The 25,262-nt window shown below is 35.4% G+C and overlaps 1 protein-coding gene across 3 annotated transcripts in view; it reads left to right on the top strand.

Moving 5' to 3' along the window:
* Positions 1 to 25,262, top strand: part of ZRANB3 (zinc finger RANBP2-type containing 3) — a 334,250-nt gene that overhangs the window by 21,834 nt on the left and 287,154 nt on the right. For all 3 annotated transcript variants that reach the window (NM_032143.4, NM_001286569.1, NM_001286568.2), the window contains exon 2: positions 4,889 to 5,056. In NM_032143.4, coding sequence (NP_115519.2) covers positions 4,896 to 5,056 — 161 coding nt within the window. In that variant the 5' untranslated portion in view covers positions 4,889 to 4,895. The remainder of the gene's footprint in view (positions 1 to 4,888; positions 5,057 to 25,262) is intronic.

Genomic DNA, 25,262 nt, shown 5'->3' with positions numbered 1-25,262 from the left:
AACATTATTTGTTATACCTTATTCTAAAATTGAGTCTCAAACTAGAATCCCTTTGAAGACAGATGCTTCTGTAGAGGTTCTTTGACCTAAATGGTTCAGCATTTGTAGTAAGTTTTATTCTGGTATCTAATCGGACTCCTATTCATAGCCCATAAGAAGGAATGTGACTTTAATAATGGACTTTGCTGATGTGCTCCTGTCCACATTTTTTTTTCTTTAAATCATAGCCATATGGTAAATTTTCTATTTTGTTATGATTCTCTTTCATTGGTGGGCATGCAGTGGGTGTTTCTTGGAAATGGTCAATGTTTATTAAAATATTTCTGGAAGAAAATTTTTTTTTAAATTATGTATTCCTGGTTTCATTTTGATAGGCTCCCCCCGCCTTGCTATAAGTAAATTAGTATATATATATTGAATAAAACCTTTTAAGTTAAACCTTTGAACTGAATAAAGTATTCATTATTAAAAAGGTATGCACATTATTGTAACTGTTAATTTCTTGGTAATCTAGAATGAAGTTAAAATGTGCATCTTCTTTTATTAATGTAATGTTGATTACAACTGACTTTTTGTAGCAATTAAACCTATATGGCTGAACCTACATGAGATATTCTTTATTACACCTTTTTTACTTTAGATCCTATAAATAGAAAAGAATATTTTAAAAATTATTTTTAGGATTAACAAAAACATTCATGTTCTATTCATTACATTGTACCACTACATATTTTTAAGTTCTTTATTTATCCAAATATCTGTTTAAATCATCAATGAACCACACTATAATCTTAAATTCAACTGAAATTTTTTTCTGTACATTTTCATAATGTTTTAGATTTCTTTTATCTTCATATTTAATTTTTTCTCTTATTTGTGCCTATTAAAACAAATTTTTGATTAATATAACTTTAATTTCATTGTTTATTTTTACAAATATTGTGCCTTGGCCAGGTGCGGTGGCTCACGCCTGTAATCCCAGCACTTTGGGAGGCAGAGGCGGGCAGATCACGAGGTCAGGAGATTGAGACCATCTTGGCTAACATGGTGAAACCCCGTCTCTACTAAAAATACAAAAAATTAGCCTGACATGGTGGCGTGCCCCTGTAGTCCCAGCTACTCGTGAGGCTGAGGCAGGAGAATGGCGTGAACCCAGGAGGCGGAGCTTGCAGTGAGCCGAGATCGTGCCACTGCACTCCAGCCTGGGCAACAGAGTGAGACTCCATCTCAAAAGAAAAAAAACAAAAAACAAAAAACAAATATTGTGCCTGAGTCAGTCCTCATAAAAATAAATCATGTAAGTGGCAAAGTGACCCCAATTTACCAGATTTTTTTGGAGTGTCTATTAAAATTTTTTACTAAGTAAAATGTAAAGGAGTCGTTTTGTTTTGTTATTCTCTCTCTCTCTTTTCTTTCCCTTTCCTTCTTTTCTTTTCTTTCTTTTCTTGATAGAGTCTCGCTCTGTCATCCATGCTGGAGTGCAGTGACAAGATCATAGCTCAAATTCCTGGGCTCAAGCAGTCCTCTGAAGCCTCCCAAGTAGTTGGGACTACAGGCATGCACCCCCACAACCAGCTAATTTTATGATCTTTTGTAAGCAACAAGATCTCGCTGTTTGCCCTGGCTGATCTTCAGCTCCTGACCTCAAGCTATTCTGCCTCAACCTCCCAAAGTGTTGGGATTACAGCGATGAGCCACTGCACCCAGCAAAGAAAAAAAAAAAAAGGAGTCTTGAATAAAGATGATAGACAGCAACATTTTTTTTTAAAATTTTTTACTTAACTTCTTGCCAGTGTTCCACCCTAAAACATTACATCCTTTATCCCATTGACCCTAAAAAGTGCTTCTGAAACTCCTGTTACTTCTGGAAAGTGGACATGGTTTTCTGCTGCTGTTAGCCTTGCCAGAAGGAATTTTACTTAATCTCTGCTCCTTTGAGTTTTGACTTTCTAAAGTCCACAATAGTATATCTGATTAGTAGCTCTAAGGCAGGCTGGGAAAGTGTCTGATATTTCTTGTGTGTATCCATTCTCTATCTCTCCCTATAGGAACTTCAGACTCATATATTTTCAAGCATACCCAACATTTCCACTTCTTATCTTATAGCCATCTCAAAGAAAATCTGTGGATTTTTTTTCTACCCAATTTATTTATTCTGTAGTCCTTACCATCCCAGCCAATTGCATCACTAACTCCATCACTCTAGGTCCACATTTTGATTCTACATTTCTGTTATTCTCTACATGTACCGCATCAGCAGATGCTGTTTGCTTTACCTCTGATATACTTCGTGAATCTTTTCAGTTTCACTGCTAAAGGTTTTTTGCCTTGTCTGTTGCAACCTGAAAACAGTTTTCCTGCTTTCATGCTTTCCCTTTTTGCTCCATTCTCTATTCCTTGCTAAGTTTTGTTATGGGGGTGGTGGTGGTGAGAGGGTCCTAGGGAGGGCCACTCATGAGTGTTTATGAGGACCTTATTCAGACAGAACTGACTCATAAATCATTTCTAAATTCAATTGCCTACTGAAGCAGTGGAGGCTTTGTTGAGTGGCCAAATCCTATAAGAACATTTATCTCCTGCCTCCTTATTGATATCTTTGTCTCCTTCAGGTGTTTTTTGAAATGTAAGTCAGATTGTGTCATTCCCCTGTTTAAACCTTCCATTGAGTACTGTCCAATAGAACTTTAAGTGAAGAGAGAAATGTTCTGTATCTTTACTATTAAATATCATAGCTACCAGACACATGTTACTGTTGAGCCCGTGAAACATGGCTGGTGAAACTGGATAACTGAATTTTTAATTTTAATTTTAATTAAACATTTTGTTAATGGTGTATGCGACAGCACAACTCCATTAGCATTCCTTCTTAAAAAGGAATCCAAAGTTATTATCAAGGCTGTATATGATTTGGCTCTTGTTTATCTCGGTAGCTTCATCTTACACCGTTCCCTCCTTTGGATCATCAGCCACATTGGCTTTTGTTTTTCTTTTTTTTGAGATGAAGTTTTGCTCTGTTACCCAAGCTGGAGTGCAGTGGTGCGATCTCAGCTCACTGCAAATTCCTCCTCCTGAATTCAAGTGATTGTTGTGCCTCAGCCTCCTGAGTAGCTGGGATTACAGGCCTGTGCCACCACACCCAGCTAATTTTTGTATTTTTAGTAGGACAGTGTTTCGCCACGTTGACCAGGCTGGTCTCAAACTCCTGACCTCAGGTGATCCGCCCACTTTGGCCTCCCAAAGTGCTGAGATTATAGGCATGAACTGCTGTGTCTGGTCCACCTTAGCCTTCTTTCTGTTTTCCGAAAACACCAAGCCCTTTCTCAATTTGGGTCCTTTGCAGTGATGCTCTTTCCTCGGACTGCTCTTCTCTTAATTTTGATCCTGGGTGGCTTTTTACATCTTTCAGACCATAAGCCAAACAGCACTTCCTAAGACAGGCCACTCTTGGTCAGCCTACCTAAAGTGACCAGTACTCTCTTAAATTCCTTACACTATTTGTGCTATATTATAATTAATCATCCTTCCCATTCGATCAGGTGTAGCTGAAAACAAAAAAGAAAAACCGTCATATTTATTTATTTGCTAATTTTTAGTTTTCCCCTGAAGAATATAAACCCTACGAGTGCGTGGGTCTTGCTTCTCTAGGTTGTGGCATGTAGTACCTATTTGTTATTAATAAATAAATACTTGCTTTGTTCTTGACCTTCTTAGTAGACACAGAAGTTGGTTACTTTTTTGGATGGAAGAGAGCAATAGTTATATAAGTCTGCATGTAATTGAGGAAAAAAGCAAACTTTTTTTTTTTTTCCTTGAGACAGAGTCTCACTCTGTCGCCCAGGCTGGAGCGCAGTGGCATGATCTTGGCTCACTGCAACCTCTGCCTCCTGGGTTCAAATGATTCTTCTGCCTTAGGCTCCTAAATAGCTGGGACTACAGGCGAGCGCCACCACGCCCAGCTAATTTTTGTATTTTTAATAGATATGGGGTTTCAACATATTGGCCAGTCTGGTCTTGAACTCCTGACCTCATGATCCACCCACCTCGGCCTCCCAGAGTGCTAGGATTACAGGCGTGAGCCACCGCGCCTGGCCCGCAAACTTTTTTTTAAAGATGAGATAATATATAAACAGAAGGCAGGGTACCATCTAAATACAAAATATTATTATTTGATAGGCATTATAGTGTAGTTGTATAATAGGACATTTTCTTCCAGAGTTATAAGAATTTACAGATATATGACATTTTTATGTCATAGAAAATTACAGTAACATCTGTGGAAAACCAGGGGGTGAGGAAGGTGTTAATCAGGCAAAGTGCTATACTGTGGATTCAGCTCATTAAAAAGAATTAATTTTAATATTTAAACAATTTAATAATATTACATTAATTTAATTAGTATAAATTTGATTTTGGAGTTAATGTCTTTGTATTTTATAATTTTTTTAAATGTAGCTTTACCTCACTCTTAGAAAATCTGGTGTGATATGAAAATGTGGATCCATAAAAGGATGAATTATTAAAGGATTCATCTTTCTCTAGCAGATTCATCCCTTATTTTAAAAATTATTCGATTTGTGAAAAATCTAGTTTATTTATAATTTTTTAGTAATAAATTTGTGGTGTTAAACTGGTGTATAGTATATGGTATTATGGCTCAAAATGAAATAGTGCATGCTGAGTTCCTAGAGAGTGCATTAAGTAATTGCTTTCAAACTCAGTGCTTTGAATTTTCTTAGTAGCTTACTGTGAGAATATGATTTAGTTTATATAAATGGTATGTCAAAGCTATTTATAAGTACTTTAATATTATTTATATGTGATTCTGTAACATACTTAGTAATATCTATTTCTTATACCCCTCCCTTTTTTGTTGTTTCTTTGTTTTTAGGATCATCATGCCTAGGGTTCATAACATAAAAAAGTCTCTTACACCTCACATTTCTTGTGTGACAAATGAATCTGATAATCTGCTGGATTTTTTGCCTGACAGACTAAGAGCAAAGCTACTTCCATTCCAGAAAGATGGCATCATTTTTGCCCTCAAAAGAAATGGCAGGTAAAGTTCTTTGAAGACATGCTAAAAATGTTAAATTCCTGGAAAGTGTATTAAAAACAAAGTTCTGTTCAAACTTTCTTTTCGTGTATTCACAGTCTTTCTTTAGTAGAATTGATTGTGACCAAGTTAGCTTTATCCATTTACTATGGTTGACTTATACTTCATGTTGAAATATATTGAACCAATTGTGATTTCTTAAGAGAAAGTATGTTCAGTTATCTTAATTATTTCAGTTATCAGATACTCTCAGCAACTCATATATTGACAGTTTTCTAGAATGTATTGCTTTCACATGAAACTAATTCAACTTATTTCCATCGTTTTTTGTTTTTTTGTCTATTACCAGAAGGATTTTTTTTTTTAATAGACTCTGCCCTTTCACCCAGGCTGGAGTGTAGTGGTACGATCTTGGCTCACTGCAACCTCTGTCTCTTGGTTTTAAGCAATCTTGCCACATCAGCCTCCTGAATAGCTGGGACTACAGGGTGCACGCCACCACACCCGGGTAATTTTTGTTTTTGTTGTGTTTTTTTAAGGGATGGGTTTTCACCATGTTGCCCAGGCTGGTCTTGAACTCCTGGGCTCAAGTGATCCTTCTGCCCCGCCTCCCAAAGTGCTGGGATTACAGGCATGAGCCACTGCACCCATCCATTGTATTCTTATTCTTTTTATTTTCCACCTTAGATTTAGCAACTTCTGGGTGTGTTTTATGAGTACCTTATACTACTGTCTGTATTTCTTTACTTTTTTCAAACTTTGTGATAGTTATATGATCTCTTCCATCAAATTGGGCCATTATATGGTTTTCTATATTTTTAAGGATAACATTGTCTTAGTTCCACAGTCACATATATCATATACTTTCTCTTCAACATTTTATTATGAACAGTTTAAAAAACATACAACAAAGTTGAAAGAATGTTAGAGTAAATGCTTGGTAGAGGCAACACCCACAGTTTATTATTAACATTTTGCCATGCTTGGTCTATCACGTATTTATCTATGAATCCATCCTTCTATCCTTCTGTCCCATCAGTCCCTTTTATTATTTTCATTCATTTCAAAGTAAATTGCAGACATCATTATACTTTCCCATATATACTTAAATATATGTATGATTAACCAGAATTCGTATTTGTTTACAGACTTTTTTTTCTGTTGAGATTTAATTAATGAAATGTACAAACCTTGACAAATGCATATACTCTTATAACCCAAACCCATCATCCTAGAAAGTTACTTCATTCCCTTTCTCAGTCAGTCCCCACTCTCACATTGATCTGATGTTTTGTATTTTGCCTGTTTTTAATGGTTTATATAAATGGAATCCAGTAATATGTGCTGTTTATGAAAAACTTCTTAAAATTATTGTAATCTTACTGAGTGAGATTCATGTATTAGTAGTTTGTGTCTATTGTACACATTTGTATTTATAGCTGTTAGTTGACACTTAAGGTTATATATCTGGTGTTTTTCACCTTACACCTGCATCTTCTCAGTTTTTCCAGCCTAGACATCACTTCTGTAGATTTCCATTGCTTTTATGGAGTTAGAAAAGTTGTACTCTTCCATATTCACAGTGTTAACGGTCCTCAGATTCCTGAAGATTCAGTCACAAATGATATTTTAAACTGCCATTTGACAGCCTTTAACTCCTTTAGGTATTTCATACTTGTGTGGTTGGGCTTCTCACTATGGCGGAGTAGAAAGAACGTACGCTTTAGGTTTAGACTTGGTTGAAATCTGAGCCACTTACTATCTCTGTGATGCTGTGCATGCTTCTTTAACAATTCATACTTCAGATTCGTTAACTATGAAATGGATTTTATAATCCTAATTACTGTGGTTAAAAAAGAAGCCCGAGTTCTTCATAATGGTGAAATAAAATGCCTTTTCCCTTTTTCATAGCTAGACTTAGTAATTTCCAAACACTTGTCCCTGGACTGTTAACCAGTCCTAACAAAATATGGATACATGTAGCAAAATGAGAAAATAAAAAGTGTGCTGTTCATAAAGCAAAATTCATTCATTTTAGAGAACTTTCATTTATTTTGAGCTTAAGTCTTCTTTTTTGGAAGCTTAGAATTGTCCTTTCTTTTCGGAAAGCATGATGTTAGTAGTGGAAATTTTTTATTATGTTTTTTGGCAAATGGAAACTTGGCAATGTTTCCCATCAAGTTTTTTGTTTACTTGCCCATGAAATAATAATTTCAGGATTTAAAAATAATTTAAGGATATATTTTATCTTGAGTTCATTCTTCAGTAATATTTTCATTGGCAATATAGGTCTGCTGTAATAGTTATTTTTTTCTTAGCACTTTGAAGGTGGTATCCTCCTGTCTTCTGGCTTCCATAATTGTCATTGATAATACCCTTGAGTCTCAAAATATCACCTTACAGATGACTTATTTATTACAAAGGGAAAAATTACAAAATGGCCGAGCTTGGTATTGCTAATAGTGGGACAGCCACATGCATAATGTGGTGCACGGGAGAGACGTAACATTACCTTATGTGGTGTTCTTACTGGAAACATTTGATCTAGGAATCATGGCGAATCAGTCCAACTAATCCAGAATGTAGAACATTTTTTCAAGACAACTGACCTGGACTCTTCAAAGGATTCAGTGTCATCAAAAATCAAAGGAAGTAGTGTATCAAGGAAAGTCTCTAAATTGAGAGAGACCTAATAACTATACCATCTGAAAGTAATGCACGAGCCTTGATTAGATCCTGGATCAGCAAAAAGAAAAGCTTTAGGGAACGCTTTTAAGATCACTGGGAAAATTTCATCAGGACTCTCTTTAGATGGTGTTATTGGATTAATGTTGATTATCTTAGATGAGGTAATGGTGTTGTCATTGAATAGAAGAATGTTCTTGTTTCTGATAAATGCATGATAAAGAATTTTCAGACAAAGAATAATAGTGCTATTGTTAGTGCTATACTTTCTACATTTTCCCAAAAGGGAAGGACTTATGTTCAGAAACATTTTGAGTGGATGAGCCAAAATGTTAACAGTGTGAATTTAGTGAGGAGTATATTCTGGTGGGTGTCTTCATTGGTGAGTGGCATAATCTGTGGGGTACACTCATTGAATTATTCTTTTTAGCTTTTCTATGAGTTTGAAATTTTTCAAAATAAAAAAAAATCAGTCTAATTTTTGTTCCTTTGTGCATCATCTGACTTGAAGATTTTCTCTTTGTCTTTGGAGTTCTGTAGTTTCACTATACTCTATTCAGTATGGTTTTCTTTTTATTTATCCTGTTTAGGATTATTGTGCGTTTTAAATCTGGGATTTGTGTCTGTTGATTCTAGGAAATTCTCAGCTATTCCCTCTTCAAATATTGCTTCTCCCCCATTTGTTTTGTCTGCTGCAATTCCAGTTAGATTTATACTTGACCTTTTTACTTCATCCTATGCTTCTATTAATGTCTCTTATATTTTCTCTGTCTGTGCTACATTATGACTGTTTTCAAGTTCTCTCATAGAATTCACAACCGGCTGGTCTAATCTGCTGTTTAACCAACCTGTTCAGTTTTTTAAAGTACTTTTTTTTTTTTTTTTTTTTTACTGATATGTAATTTACATGGACAAAGGTACATAGATTATGAATGTATAGCTTGAAGAATTTTCACAGTATAGCATCACCAAGATCGAGAAATAGAACATTGCCAGCATCACAGAAACCTCCCTCTTGCCTCTTCCCAATCATTACTATCTCCTTTTTCTTGAAAAGTAACCACTATCCTGACTTCTAACGTTATAGATTGCTTTTGCCTGTTCAACTATATTATTGTAATTGTATATTCTTTTGTATCTTGTTTTTCTCAACATTATTGTGAGTTCAATCTATGTTTTTGTATGCGGTTGTAGTTCGTTCATTCTCATTGCCATGTAAAATCCCATCATGTGAATATACCATAATTTATTCATTCTACTATGGAGCATTTGGGTTATTTCTAGTTTGGGGCTCATAGAATAGTAATGATATGAATGTTCTTATACAAATCTTTTGGTGAATATATATACACATTTCTGATGTATATCTACCAAGAAGAATTGTTAGGTCATAGGTTGTGCATGTTTTCCACTTTAGTAGATAATGCCTATATTAGTTTGCTAGGACTATCATAAAAGCATACCGCAACTGGGTGGCTTAAACAACAGAAATTTATTTTCCCACAGTTTTGGAGGCTAGCAGTCCAAAATTAAGGTGTGGGCAGGGTTTGTTCCTCTTGAGAGCTGTGAAGGAATTGTCTTTTCCAGGGCTCTCTTTCTTGACTTGTAGGCTACTGTTTTCTTCCTATTTCTATTCACATTGTCTTCCCTCTGTTTATGTCTCTGGGTCCAAATTTGCCTTTTTTATATGGACACTAGTCATATTGGTTACATTGGTGATACCCTAATGACTTCATCTTAAGTAATTATGTCTGCAGTGACCATATTTCCAAATAAGGTCACATTCTGAGGTACTGGGGGTTTGAACTTCAACATATGAATTTGGGTGATACATAATACAAACCATACCACTGCTAAACATTTTCCAATGTAATTTCACCAATCTTTACTTGTATCAACAGTGTTTAAGAGTTCCACTTATATCTCATCCTCATCAACACTTCATTTTGCCTATCTTTATTTTCATTTTAGATATTCTGGTAGGTATATAGTGATGTACATTGAGGTTTTTATTTACATTTCTCTGATGATAAGTAAAATTTAATACCTTGTCATACGCTTATTAGCCATTTGGACATCTTTTTTTAAATGCCTGTTCATTTCTTATCTGTTTTTCTTCTGGATTGTCTATTTGCCTTTTTCTTATTGTTTTGTAGGAGTCCTTTTGTCATATGTATACTCTGGATATGAGTCTTTTATCAGGTATATTTATGGCAAGTAAATTTTCTCAGGTTGTGTTTTGCCTTTTCCTTGTCTTAATGATGTCTTCTGATAAGCAGAGATTCTCAATTTTAATGTCATCTTACATAATCTTTATCCGCATTCATTCTATGGCTGGCACTTCTTTCATCAAATTTTAAAAATCTTTGTCTACTACTGTTTGGGGAAATCAGCCCCCAGTATTCAACATGGGTCCTTTTCTATTTTCCCTAAGTGTCGGCTGGCCTGAGAAATAAAGGGAAAGAGTACAAAAGAGAGAAATTTTAAAGCTGGATGTCCAGGGGAGACATCAAATGTTGCCAGGTTCTGTGATGCCCCCCAAGCTGCAAAACCAGCAAGTTTTTATTAATGATTTTCAAAAGGGGAGGGAGTGTACAAATAGGGTGTGGGTCACAGAGATCCCATGCTTCACAAGGTAAAATATCATAAGGCAAATGGAGGCAGGGCGAGATCACAGGAATGGGGAGAAATTAAAATTGCTAATGAAGTTTCAGGCACGCATTGTCATTGATAACATCTTATCAGGAGACAGGGTTTGAGAGAAGACAACCAGTCTGACCAAAATTTATTAGGTGGGAATTTCCTCGTCCTGATAAGCCTGGGAGCGCTATGGGAGACTGGGGCTTATTTCATCCCTTATCTACAACCGTAAAAAGATAGATGTTCCCAAAGCGGCCATTTTAGAGACCTTCCCTTGGGAACACATTCTCTTTCTCAGGGATGTTCCTTGCTGAGAAAAAGAATTCAGTGAAATTTCTCCTGTTTGCTTTTGAAAGAAGAGAGATATGGCCCCGGCTCTCAGGCAGCCAGACTTAATGGTTATCTCTCTTGTTCCCTGAACATCGCTGTTATCCTGTTCTTTTTTCAAGGTGCCCACATTTCATATTGTTTAAACAATTTGTGCAGTTAACGCAATCATCACAGGGTCCTGAAGTGACATTCATCCTCAGCTTACGAAGATGATGGGATTAAGAGATTAAAGACAGGCATCACAAGAGTATTGATTGGGGAAGTGATAAGTGTCCATGAAATCTTCACAATTTATGTTCAGAGATTGCAGTAAAGACAGGTATAAGAAATTATAAAAGTATTAATTTGGGGAACTAATAAATGTCCATGAAATCTTCACAATTTATGTTCTTCTGCCATGGCTTCAGCCGGTCCCTCCATTTGGGATCCCTGACTTCCCGCAACATACTACAAAGTCATGAAGAGATTTCCTGTGTTTTCCTCTAAAAGCTTTATTGTTTTAATTTTTACACTAATTCGATTTACAATCTACTTGGAATTGTTTTGTGTATATGGTATGAAGTAGACATCAGGATTATTTATTTATTTATTTATTTATTTATTTATTTATTATTTATTATTTTTTAGAGACAGAGTCTCGCTGTCGCCCAGGCTGGAGTACAGTGGCACCATCTTGGCTCACTGCAACCTCTGCCTTCTGGGTTCCAGCGATTCTCCTGCCTCAGCCTCCTGAGTAGCTGGGACTACAGGTGCACACCACCATGCCCAGCTAATTTTTGTATTTTTAGTAGAGACAAGGTTTTACCATGTTGGCCTGGCTCATCTCGAACTCCTGACCTCCGTTGATCTGTCCGCCTTGGCCTCCCAAAGTACTGGGATGATAAGTGTGAGCCACCGCGCTCAGCCTCACTTACTTATTTTTAAATTTATTTTTACATATGAATGTCTACTTGATCCAGCACAATTTATTGAAAAGACTTTTTCCTACTGCATTGTAATGTTACTTTTGTCATAAATCAAGTAATTTTATGTGTATACCTTTCTAGATAAGTGCTGTCTAATGGAACTTTCCGCTGTGATGGAAATATTCTTTATGTGTACTGTTTAATTCAGTAGCTATTCACTGCAGATGGCTATTGAGTACTTGAAGTGTGGCTAGTGCAACTAATGATTGAATTTTTAATTTTACTAATTTTAATTAATTCAAATTTAAATAGTTACATGTTTAGTGCCTACCATATGGAATAGTGCAGTTGTAGATTCTTTGTTTTGTTTCTCTGTTTGCCATCTTTGTGTCAGTACCATACTTCTTCATACTTCTTAGCGTAGCTTTATAATAAATATTCTGGTATCAGGCAGTATAAATCTTTCAGCCTTACTCTTTTTCAAAATTGTCTCAGCTATTATTGACTCTGCATTACATATAAATTGTAGAAGTCATTTATCAATTTTCACAAAAGTGCTGGATTTGTGAATGGAGTTTTACTGCATCTATAGATCAGTTTGGGGAGAATTTATATATTTATAATACAGAGTATTTCATTCCATGAATATGAATTATTTTTACATTTACTTAATTGCTCTTTCGGTGTCCTGTATATCTCTTATCTTTTTTTGTGTGTGCTGCAGTTTTGATATTTTGTATTTAGCCATATTCAAGCTTACTGATTTTATCTTTTGCTGTTAATTAATTTATTGGATTCTCTTAAGGATGAGACCATCACTCAATATACTTGAAATGAGAAACCACTCAATTTCTTTCTTGATAAGCAAGGGAGAACTGTGCTTCTTAGCCATGACATTCTAAACAAAGCGAAGAGTTGGTATCGCATTGGGCTTTGGAAGCCTGAAGACTTTCAAAAACAGGAGTGTTTAAGGACTGTCTGAAATTTCTGTGTATAGTTTAGGGATTAGCTGACTACCAGAGAACAGTTAGTCCTTTCCTTTCTTGAAATTGGAGAACAGGGACATTTAACTTTCTGTTCTTAATTTCAGAAAGTATATTTTTAACTCCTAGAATATCGAGTTCAGCTCTGCCTGCTTATGTTGGTAGTGTCTTGTTTTTTGCAATGTTTTGGTTCTGTGTCGTATTTCTTTAAATATTTAGAACATACTTATTTATGTAAGTCATACTTATTTGCATATTTGAGGTCCTTTAGAGGTTAATTTTGCCTTTTATTGTTTTATGTGATGGTTTATTTCCCAGTGTATTTGCAGATGTCTTAAATTTTGTTTTAATAAATAATCTTAATCTGCGGATTTCGTTTTTTTTTTTTTTTTTTTTTTTTTTTTAAGATGGAGTTTTGCTCTTGTTGCCCAGGCTGGAGTACAGTGGTGCCATCTTGGCTCACTGCAACCTCTGCCTCCTGTGTTCAAGCGATTGTCCTGCCTCAGCCTTCCGAGTAGCTGGGATTACAGTCGCACGCCACCACGCCTGGCTAATGTTTTGTATTTTTAGTAGAGATGGAGTTTCACCATGTTGGCTAGGCTGGTCTCAAACTCCTGATCTCAGGTGATCCACCCGCCTTGGCCTCCCAAAGTGGTGGGATTACAGGCATGAGCCACCACGCCTGGCCAGTCTGTGGAAATTTTGAGAGATGTAAATGAGTAAATTCTTCAATGGAGGATTTGCAAAATTAGATTCTTGGCTTGCAGTTTCCAAGATCACACAGGTAATACAAATTCAAACCTCAAGTTCATTTTTAGGTAGGCTTACTATTATGAATTTTGATCATTAATTTTCATCTCCTGCCAAGCTTTAAATTTCCTTGTTAGCTTAAAAAATTAAGTATAATTTAATTTAATAAAATATATGGATTTGAGGTGCACAGTTTTGTAGATTCTGATACACTGAATACCCCTGTGTTTTCAAAAACCTCAGTCAAGATATAAAACATTACCATCACTCAGAGTAGGCCTCTTTCTAAACAACCCCATCCTCCTAAATTAAAATCACTGATCTGACTTCTGTCACTAAAGTATATTTTTTATAGTTACTTGGTGCTGTATTTTTTTCAACTTTTTGAAGTAATTTCAAATGTACAGAAAAGTCACAAAAATAGAGAATAACTTTTATGTATGTTTTACCTAGAGTCACATATTTTTAACATTTTGCCACATTTACTTTATTATTCTCTCTCTCTACACAAACAACATACACATATATACACCTATGCTTGCATTCATGTTTTTATAAACCATTTGAGAGTAGGTTGCATACATTATGCTCCTTTAATCTGCGAAACTGGCTGCTCTGCCTATGGAGTAGCCATTCTTTTACTCCTTTACTTTCCTAATAAACTTGCTTTAAAAATAAGAATAATATGCAATACTATAATATAGTATGTGTTTTTTAAAAATAAAGACATTCTCTTATATAGACACAGCACAGTTACCAAATTTAATAATTTAACTTTTTATTTTTTTTTATTCTTAGTTTTGTTTTTTTAGAAACATGATCTCACTCTGTCACGTAGGCTGGAGTGCAATGGCACAATCATAGCTCACTGTAACCTCGTATTCACAGCCCTAAGTGATCCTCTGACCTCACCCTCCCAAGTTGCTAGTATTACAGGTGCACACCACTGTGCCCAGTGTATTTTTTTATAGAGACAGAGTTCTGCTATGTTGTACAGGCTGCTATTGAACTCCTGGCCCCATATGATCTTCCTGCTTTGGCCTCCCAAAGTGCTAGGATTACAGGCATGAGCCATTGCACATGGCTGGAATTTAACTATTATACAATACTTTAATATATTTTGTCAGTTGTCCCAATGCTGTCTTTTATAGCATGTTTTTTGTTCAATATGAAAATCTAATCCAGGATCACTTACTGCATTTAATGATATCTTTTTGTTTCCTTTAATGTGGGACACTTCCTTACCCTTTCATGACACTGGCCTCAACTTATTTTTATAATGTTTCATCACAGTGAGATTTAGATTATGCAATCTTTCCTGCATCAGTACATAGTGAGATTGAGGTCATATTCTTCTCAGGGTATTATTTTGAGCCTCTTAGCCCCAAGGCCAAGTTCCTGGCCAAAGTTTGGTCCAGTTTCACTGTATAGTTACTATTTTTGCTTCTCACAGTTGTTTAGTATGTAACAATTAACATGAGATATTATGACCGTGCAAATATGCTGCTCCTTCTCTGATTTTCCCTCTCTTGGATTTAGCATACATAGATGATTCCTGTTCAAATCAAATTTTGTCATGATGGCTGTAAAATGATTTATTAATTGGCATTTTATTGTAAAGAAGAGCCCCCCTTCTGCTCCTTTCCTCTCCTCTCCTTTCCTTCCTTTCTTTCTTTCCTTTATTTTCCTTCCTTCCTTCCTTCTTTTTTCTTTTCTTTTTTTTTTTTTTTTGAGACGGAGTCTTGCTCTGTCACCCAGGCTGGAGTGCAGTGGCGCGATCTCAGCTCACTGCAAGCTCCGCCTCTCGGGTTCATGCCATTCTCCTGATACAGGCGTGAGCCACCGCGCCCTCCCTCCCTCCCTCCCTCCCTCCCTTCCTTCCTTCCTTCCTTCCTTCCTTCCCTCTCTCCCTCCCTTCCTCCCTCCCTCCCTCCTTTCTATTTCTATCCATCCATTCATCTTCCCATCCATCCATCCTTCAGATGGACTCATGAATTTCTTACTGTATGGTATCTTAGTTTTCTCTGTTTTGGAACATGCTACAAACAGAATCATGCAGTTTATGTGGATCTTCTCTCACTCAATATAATGTTTTAGCAATTTCATCTATGTTGTTTTACCTCTGAATATGTCACAATTATTTTGTTCATTTACTTGGTGATGGACATTTGGGTTGGCTCTGGTTTAGAGCTCTTATGAATAAAGATAGTCTTAACATTCTTAGATGAGTCCATCTATGGACATGTTTTCAGTTCTCTTGTTAGCTCTTTGGGTGGAGTGTGCTTTAACTTTATTTAAAAACTGTCCAACTTTTTCCCATCTGTCAACAATATATGAGAGTTCTAGATGATCCACATCTCTGTCAACATTTGATGTTGTTAGCCTTTTTTATTTTAGGCATTCAAAATGAATGACTATTCGAGATGTAGCTTATTATGTTTTACTTTGTACTTTCTGAATAATATTGAACATGTTTCCCTGAACTTACAGATCATCCTTATATAGTTATATATGTTATATACAACATATAATAGATACATTGTAAAGTACTGAAATGTTTTGCCCTTGTTTTAATTGGGTTGCCTTTTTATTATTTATTGGAAGTTCTTTTTATATTCTAGATATAAGACTTTTGCCAGATATGTATCTTGTGAATATTTTCCCTAGTCTGTAGCCTCCTTTTGATTTTCCTTGTAGTATAGTATTCTAATGAACAGAAAATTTTAACTTTAATAAAATTAACTTCATCAAGTTTTCCTTTTATAGTTAGTGCTTTTTATATTTGAACAAGTCATTTCCTACCTGAAGATTACAAAATCGTCTTCTGTTTTCTTCGGGAAGCTTTATAGTTTTCCTTTTTCTATTTATATATATATATATATATATATATATATATATATATATATATATATATATATATATATATATATATATATATATTTGGTATCATCTCAATTTTTAAATACGGGGTGAGGTAGGAGTTCTAGGTTCTGTTTTCCTTCATACCAATATCTAGTTATTTCAGCACCATTTGTAGAAAAATCTATCATTCCCATAAATTACCTTGGCACTTTAGTGAAAAATTGATTGACCACATATGTCTAAATCTATTTCCTGTTTGTTTCCTTTTGCCACTGGATCCCTTTTTCTATTGTCACCCTTCTTCCATTTTCATTTAATCTCCAGCTTTCTTAGGCTGAAGCTTTATTTAGGACTCTTATTTCCACTATCTATTTCTTTTAGGTCTAGGGCCTTATTCTTGTTGCTCTGCATGGTTCTTCAGTCCTAAGGTTCTTTGTTGGTGGCTTCTGTAGACACCTTCAGTGTAGCATGTGTTTTTATCACTCATCACTGTATGTTTGACTTTCTCTTTGTAAATTTTCATTGAACATTGTAAATTACCTTTACTTTTTCTTCAGACTGGTGCTACATTTTAAAAGATAATGTTTTACCTAATTTAGCATTTCTAGGTGTTTGCAAAAGGAGGGATTTTTAGAATATCTAAAACACCATAGTACTGGGAGCAGACACCTTACAGTTAAGTCTTCATTCATTCTGGATTATACTCTTTATCATTATAAAATTTCTTTATTATAAAATCACTTAGTTCTTTCCTTTCGTCCTCTGAATGTGATCTGTAATTAGTATCCCAACAACTATTTCATTCTGTCCATGCTTTCCTAGCATGCCTTTAACCATCTTTTTATTTTCAACGTTTTTGAAACCTTTAGATAAATTTTTATGTTACAAGGTTAGGTTTCACTTTGTTACTCAGTTTGTCTTTTCTCTTAAGTAACAGTGTTAAACTCACTTTCATTCATTGATATTAGAGTTATATTTAGTCTTTATGCAATTATCATAGTATTTGTTATGGTTTCTGTTGCCTAAAAATATGTTATTATATGATCATTCTATGATCCACTAAATATGTCATTATATAATCCATGTTTTCCTGTTTTCGTTTAGTATAAACCATTAGTAATTTAAAGGTTTGGTTTGGAATCCACTGGTTATCTTTATAACTAATGTTTTGTGTAATATACTCTGTTCTCTATTTTATTACGTATTGTTTTCTTATTCCCAGTTATATGCAGTGACATTGGTATATTGCCTTTTTCTCCCTCTCTGTCCTTTCTGAGCACGATATCAATTGGTTATTTTTTTGATGTTCACCTTTGTATCTTTAATAATACTTACACTTTTCATTTATAAAAATACTCATGTGGCTGGGCGTGGTGGCTCACACCTGTAATCCCAGCGCTTTGTGAGGCTGAGGCGGGCAGATCACAAGGTCAGGAGATCAAGACCATCCTGGCTAACACAGTGAAACCCCATCTCTACCAAAAATACAAAAAAAATTAGCTGGGCCTGGTGGCATGCACCTGTAATCCCAGCTACCTGGGACACTGAGGCAGGGGAATTGCTTGAACCAGGGAGGTGGAGGTTGCAGTGAGCTGAGATTGCGCCACTGCACTCCAGCCTGGGCAACAGAGTGAGACTATATCTCAAAAAAAAAAATACAAAAAATTAGCCAGGCATAGTGGCACATTACTGTAATCCCAGCTACTCGGGAGGCTGAGGCAGGAGAATCGCATAAACCCGGGAGGTGGAGGTTGCAGTGAGCCAAGATTGTGCCGCTGCATTCCAGCCTGGGTGATAGAGCAAGACTGTCTCAAAAAAAATAAATTAATTTAAAAAAATACTTAACATTATTTCTTTACCAACTTTAAACTTTGCCTTTGTTTCCCTTTTACCTTCTGTTAGGTATGTAATTTCTGTGTTGTGATTATCTATAACTTATGTTCTCATCTGTAAACCAGATTATTTAAATAGTTAAGTATTATTTAAATAGTGAAGTATTTTCATTGCTTCCCTCGGTCCCTTTTGTTTCTGTACGGTGTCCTTTGGTTGAAGTTATTTTGAAATGTACAATAGATTAACGCTAACTGTAGTCACCCTACTGATCTACCAAACGTTAGGTATTATTTCTTCTATCTAACTGTATATTTGTACCCATTAATCAACCTCTTCATCCTCCCCTCCCCACTACCCTTCCCAACCACTAGTAGCCACTAAGGTACTCTGTACCTTTGTGAGATTCACTTTTTGAGCTCCCACATATGAGTGCGAACATGTGATATTTGTCTTTCTGTGCTTGGCTTATTTCACTTAACATCATGACCTCCAGTTCCATCCATGTTGCTGCAGATGAGAGGATTTTATTCTTGTTTATGGCTGAATAATATTCATTGTGTATATATATATCACATTTTCTTTTTCCATTTATCTACTCGTGGGCATTTAAGTTGATTACACATTTTGGCTATTGAGTACATTGCTACAGTAAACATAAGAGTGCAGATATCTCTTGATTTCTCTTCTTTTGGATATATACCCAGTAGTGGAATTGCTGGATCATTGGTATTTCTATTTTTAGTTTCTTGAGGAATCTCCATATTGGTTTCCATGGCAGCTGTACTGATTTACATTCCTACCAACAGTGTGCAAGGATTCCTCTTTCTCTACTAACATCCCTTATTCCCATTTTTTTTGATAAAAGCAATTTTAACTGGGGTGAGATGATATCTCATTGTGGTTTTGATTTGCATTTCTCTGATGATTAGTGATGTGGAGCATTTTTAATATACCTGTTGGCAGTTTATATATCTTCCTTGAGAATTGTCTGTTGAGATCTTTTGTCCATTTTTTAATTGGAATATTTCTCTTTTTTTGCTATAGAGTTTTCTTATATATTCTGGCTATTAATTTCTCATCAGATAGACATTTTGTAAATATTTTCTCTCGTATTCTAAAAATATCCTTTCACTCACTTTATAATTACACATCTGTGGGGTAAGAAATTCCTCAGGCCCACTTTATTTCCTGGCTGATTTTGTAGGCAGTGCTCACTGTTTGCTACAGACTAGTCTGAGGACTCACTGGATTTTTTTCTACTTAGAAGTGATCAATTTTTTACCTCACTACCCATTTTTTGCAGTCCAGTACTAGAATATGTCTTGGCATTGACCTTTGTGTTTCTCTTTTTCTTGGACGTGCCATATTCTTTTAGTTTCTAGTTTACATTTTTCTTCTACTTCTGGAAACTTCTCTTGAATTACACTGAGAGCAGTTTTTTACTTTTTTCATTTTGGCTTGCTTCTTTGAAGACATCAAATATGCTTATATTTGTTGATTTGTCTTGGCCTATTTATATCACTTGTTTTTTTCTCTTTTGCATTCTTAATTTATTTTTTTCTCCAAAACCCTTTTTTTTGTTTAAATTCTTTTTGAAAATTTCCTTTTCAATCCTATCCTGTGTGTACTTTCCTATTTTAGTAGTACCTGTTCTCTCTTCTGCTTCCATTTGGCCTTCATTTCAGTTTTGTTTATTTATGTATTTTTTTTATTTCTCTGACCTGTAAGTTCACATTTTATTTCTTCATCTTTTTGACCATAGCTCCCCTGAGCTCCTGCATCTCCTCTTTATGTTTTCTGTGTTATAGAGGTGATTGCTTCTTTAAGTTTATATTTGTGGCAACATATTTGACTAATTTTCTTTTTTTAATTTTATTTTATTATTATTATACTTTAAGTTTTAGGGTACATGTGCACAATGTGCAGGTTAGTTACATATGTATACATGTGCCATGCTGGTGTGCTGCACCCATTAACTCATCATTTAGCATTAGGTATATCTCCTAATGCTATCCCTCCCCCCTCCCCCCACCCCACAACAGTCCCGAGTGTGATGTTCCCCTTCCTGTGTCCGTGTGTTCTCATTGTTCAGTTCCCACCTATGAGTGAGAACATATTTGACTATAATTTTCATCTGCTTCATAACTGTTTTTCTTATGTGTTTCCATTTGATTTTCCTTTTTCTTTCCTTCATTTTATTTGTAGATTCCTTTTTTAAGAATGACTGCTCATCATTCAATGAGAAACATTTTTTCCTGATCATACTGTTTGCAAAAGGTCATCTTGCAAACAGTATGGGCTAGAGCAATGTTATAGACTAACACCTATTCTCCTTATGACACTGTTTTTGTGTGTAATTGATTTCTTTTGATATGACACTATTTTTGTATGTAATTGATTTCTTTTGATTATATAGCATACTTTGTTTTATTATGCTATATAGTATAATCAGATATAGTATGCTATATAGTATAATAAAACATATATGCTATATAGTATAATCAAATATGGTATGCTATATTTGATTATATAGCATAGTTTGTTTTATTATAATTTGCTTTATTGTGCTTTGCATATATTGTGGTTTTTACAAATTGTGCTTTGCATATATTGTGCCTTTCATATATGTGGTGTTTACAAATTGTGCTTTGTATATATTGTGCTTTGCATATATGTGGTTTTTACAAATTGTGCTTTGCATATATTGTGCTTTGCATAAATTGTGGTTTTTACAAATTGTGCTTTGCATATATTGTGGTTTTTACAAATTATGCTATATAGTATATTCAAATATAGTATGCTATATAGTATAATCAAATATATATGCTATACAGTATAATCAAATATAGTATGCTATATTTGATTATATAGCATACTTTGTTTTATTATAATTTGCTTTATTGTGCTTTGCATATATTGTGGTTTTTACAAGTTGAAGGTTTGTGGTATTCCTGCATTAAGCATGTCTTTTAGAACCATTTTTCCAACAGTATGTGTTAAGTTTGTGTCTCTGTGTCATATTTTAGTAATTCTCAATATTTCAAACTATTTCATTATCCGTTATGGTGATCAGTAATTAGTGATCTTTGAGTTTACTATTATAATTGTTTTGGGGTACCATGAATGATACCAATTCATATAAGATGGTGAACCTAATGGATAAATATTATGTGTGTTCTAACTGCTCCACCGACTGGCTCTTCCTCTCTTTCCCTCTCCACAGGCCTCTGTATTCCCTAAGACAAAACAATATTGAAATTAGGTCAGTTAATAACCCTACAGTGGGCTGTAAGTGTTCAAGTAGAAGGAAAGATCATACATCTCTCACTTTAAATCAAAAGCTAGAAATGATCATGCTTAGTGAGGAAGGCAGGTCGAAGTGGATATAGGCTAAAAGCTAGGCCTCCTGTGCCAGACAGTTAGCCCAAGTTGTGGATTGCAAAGGAAAAGTTCTTGAGGGAAATTAAATGTACTCCTCCAGTATACAAATGAGAGATAAGAAAGCAAAACAGTCTTATTGCAGATGTGGAGAAAGTTTCAGTGGTGTGGATAGAGTATCAAACCAGTCACAACATTCCCGTATACCAAAGCCTAATTCCAGAGCAAGGCCCTAATTCTTTTCAGTTTTATGAAGGCTGAGAGGTGAGAAACCTGCAGAAGAAAAATTTGAAGCTAAAGAGGTTGGTTCATGAGGATTAAGGAAAAACGCCATCGTCATAACATAAATGTGCAAGGTGAAGCAGCAGGTGCTGATGTAGAAGCTGCAGCAGGTTACTCAGAAGATCTAGCTAAGATCATTGATAAAAGTGACTACACTAAACAACAGATTTTGAATGTAGATGAAACAGGCTTCTATTGGATGAAAATACCATCTAAAACTTTCATAATTAGAGAGAAGTCAATGCCTGGCTTAAAAACTTCAAAAGATAGGTTTTCTTGTTAGGGGCTAGTGCAGCTGGTGACTTTAAGGTGAAGCCAGTGCTCATTGACCATCTGAATATCCTAGAGCCTTTCAGATTTATCCTAAATCTACTCTGCCTGTGTTCTATAAGTAGAATAACAAAGCCTGGATGACAGTACATCTCTTTGTAGCAAGGTTTACTGAATATTTTAAGCCTACCATTGAGACCTACTGCTGAGAAAAAAGATTCCTTTCAAAATATTATTGCTCATTGACAATGGACCTGGTCACCCAAGAGCTCTATTGTAGATATACAAGATGAATGTTGTTTTCGTGCCTGGTAACACAGCATCCATTCTGTAGCCCATGTATCCAGGAGTAATTTTGACTTTCAGGTCTTAATATTTAAGAAATACATTTTGTAAGGCTGTAGTTGCCAAAGATAATGATTCCTCTGATGGAACTGGGCAGACTAAATTTTAAACCTTCTGGAAAGGATTATTCTAGATGCCATTAAGGACATTCATGATTCATGGGAGGAGGTTAAAATGTCAAATCAATAGGAATTTGGAAGAAGTTGATCCCAGTCCTCATGGATTACTTGCAGGGGTTCAAGACTTCAGTAGAGGGGACCGGGTGCAGTGGCTCATGCCTGTAATCCCAGCAATTTGGGAGGCCAAGCGGGTGGATCACCTGAGGTCAGGAGTTTGAGACCAGCCTAGTCAACATGGCAAAATCCCATCTCTACTGAAAATACAAAAATTAGCCAGGCATGCTGGCAACCACCTGTAATCCCAGCTACTCAGAAGGCTGAGGCAGGAGAATTGCCTGAACCTGGGAGTGGAGGTTGCAGTGAGCTGAGATCACACCACTGCACTTCAACCTATGCAACAGAGCAAGACTCCTCTTATATTGAAAAAAAAAAAAAAGACTTCAGTGGAGAAAGTAACTGCAGATGTGGTGGAAATAGCAAGAGAATTAGAAGTAGAGCCTGAAGATGTGACTGAATTGTTGCAATCTTGCATTAAAACTTGAACGATGAGGAGTTGCTTCTTATGGATGAGCAAAGAAAGCAGTTTCTTGAGATGGAATCTATTCTTGGTGAAGATGCTGTGAGCAATGTTGAAGTGACAACAAAAAATTAAGAATAAAACGTATACTGAGTTGATACAGCATCAGCAGGTTGGAGAGTATTGATTTCAATTTTGAAAGAACTTCTACTGTTACTAAAATGCTTTCAAACAGCAGTGTATGCTTCAAGAAATCTTTCATGAAAGAAAGAGTCAATTGATGTGGCATAAGTCATTGTTGCCTTATTTTCAAGAAATTGCCACAGCCGTCACACCCTTCAGCAACCACCACCTTGATTAGTCAGCAGCCATCAACAATCGTCGAGGTAAAACCCTTCACTCTCCATATTTATGTCTGGATATGTGTATTTGTGAATATACATGGTTAATAATAATTGATATATGTATTAATACATGAAATTTTTAGTATACTGTTGAACAAGAATGTTTCCTATTTGTCATTTACTTATTCATGTCTGAGGAGATATAAGAAGAAAATGTAATCCAAAAAGATTACAACTCTCTAAACGATCACATGTTCATTACCCTTTTTTAGCAATGTTTTACAACTAGGATATGTACATTGTTTTAGACATAATGCTATTGCATACTTAATAGGCTACATTATGGTGTAAACAGAGCTTTAATATACACTGTGAAACAAGTCTGTGTGACTCACCTTTTTACGACATTAGCTTTGTTGACGTGATCTGGAACGGAACCCGCAATATCTCCAAGGTATGCCTGTATCATTCTGACAGTATTGTGACCAACTATAAAGATTAAATGCCATGTTTATGACAGCACCCTGCACAGTGCCTCTAGGGGAGCAGACACTGTAAATGGTGACTGCTATAATAATTATTGTAATAATCTATCTCATTCTGGGCTGAACTCACAAAATCTTGGAGGTATGCCTGTATCTTCTGAATCAAAAGAAAGATGGCTAGCAGGGCAAAGTCTCTCATACATGCCCCTGCCTTAATATGACTACTTCCTACATTCAGCATTTGTCGTTGAGCCTTGCCTGCTTCTCTTCTCCTGCACCCAGACTGGCCCCTGGGATAGACAGTGTACATATCATCGTGTGTTGCTGTAAAGAAGGGATTCTTGACTTTGCAACACAGCTATTCCTCCTACTTTGGAACTGTGTTTGGCTGTTATGTTATGTTATGTTATGTTATGTTTTGTTTTGTTTTGTTTTGTTTTGTTTTGTTTTGTTTTGTTTGTTTTGTTTTGTTTCTCTGAGATGTATAGCCTGAAGTGTTCTTTCTAGGTATACTCCCTCAGTTATTGGGGTTTTAAAAATATATTTATTTTTATTTATTCATATTTCTTTGAGACAGTCTCACTCTGTTGCCCAGGCTGGAGTGCAGTGGCGCATTCTTGGCTCACTGCAACCTCTGCCTCCCAGGTTCAAGTGATCCTCCCACCTCTACCTCCCGAGTAGCTGGGACTACAGGTGCCCACCATCTCACCTGGCTAATTTTTTTGTATTTTTAGTAGAGGCGGGGTTTCACTGTATTGACCAGGCTGATCTCCAACTCCTGACCTCAAGTGATCTGCCCACTTTGGCCTCCCAAAGTGCTGGGATTACAGGTGTGAGCCACTGTAATATTTAAAATATTTATTAAATATTTTAATTAATTTTATTTTATTAATATTTATTAAATATTTAAAAACCAAGACAGGTTTTTGAAATATTTAATACTTTTGGTAACCTATCTTTTTGTTTTGCCATTTGAGATTTTTAGATTTCTCCCAATTTTTTCATAGATATTAAAAAACCATGCATTAAATCTTTGAATCTCTGCTCCATCAAGCTTAGTGTTAGATACATTGCCTAATTTTTTATTAATTCATATTTATGTCATGTATTTATTTCTGGATATGTATATTGTGAATATACATGGTTAAAAATAATTGACAATGTAATAATACATGAAATTTATAGTATACAGTTGAACAAGAACATTTGCTATTTGTCATGTACTTATTCATTCAGGAGATGTAAGAAGCTTGTGATTGAATGAAATTATTAGGCTTAGCATTGTACATTTTCTTTTTTACCTTTTTCATTAGTTCATACTCTTTGTATGGCTATTGTTCTGACATAAAGTGAATTTTATTTTTTCTGGAAATCCTGGCAGAGTAATTTGTTTTAATTGTCTGTCTGGGGAAGAAAAGACTTTGTAGAAAGTCAACAAGGATACCCAGGAATTGAACACAGCTCTGCACGAAGCGGACCTA

The sequence above is a fragment of the Homo sapiens genome, chromosome 2 (genome assembly GCF_000001405.40).
Source record: "Homo sapiens chromosome 2, GRCh38.p14 Primary Assembly".
NCBI lineage: Eukaryota > Metazoa > Chordata > Mammalia > Primates > Hominidae > Homo > Homo sapiens.
This window is presented reverse-complemented; position numbering and strand designations above follow the sequence as displayed.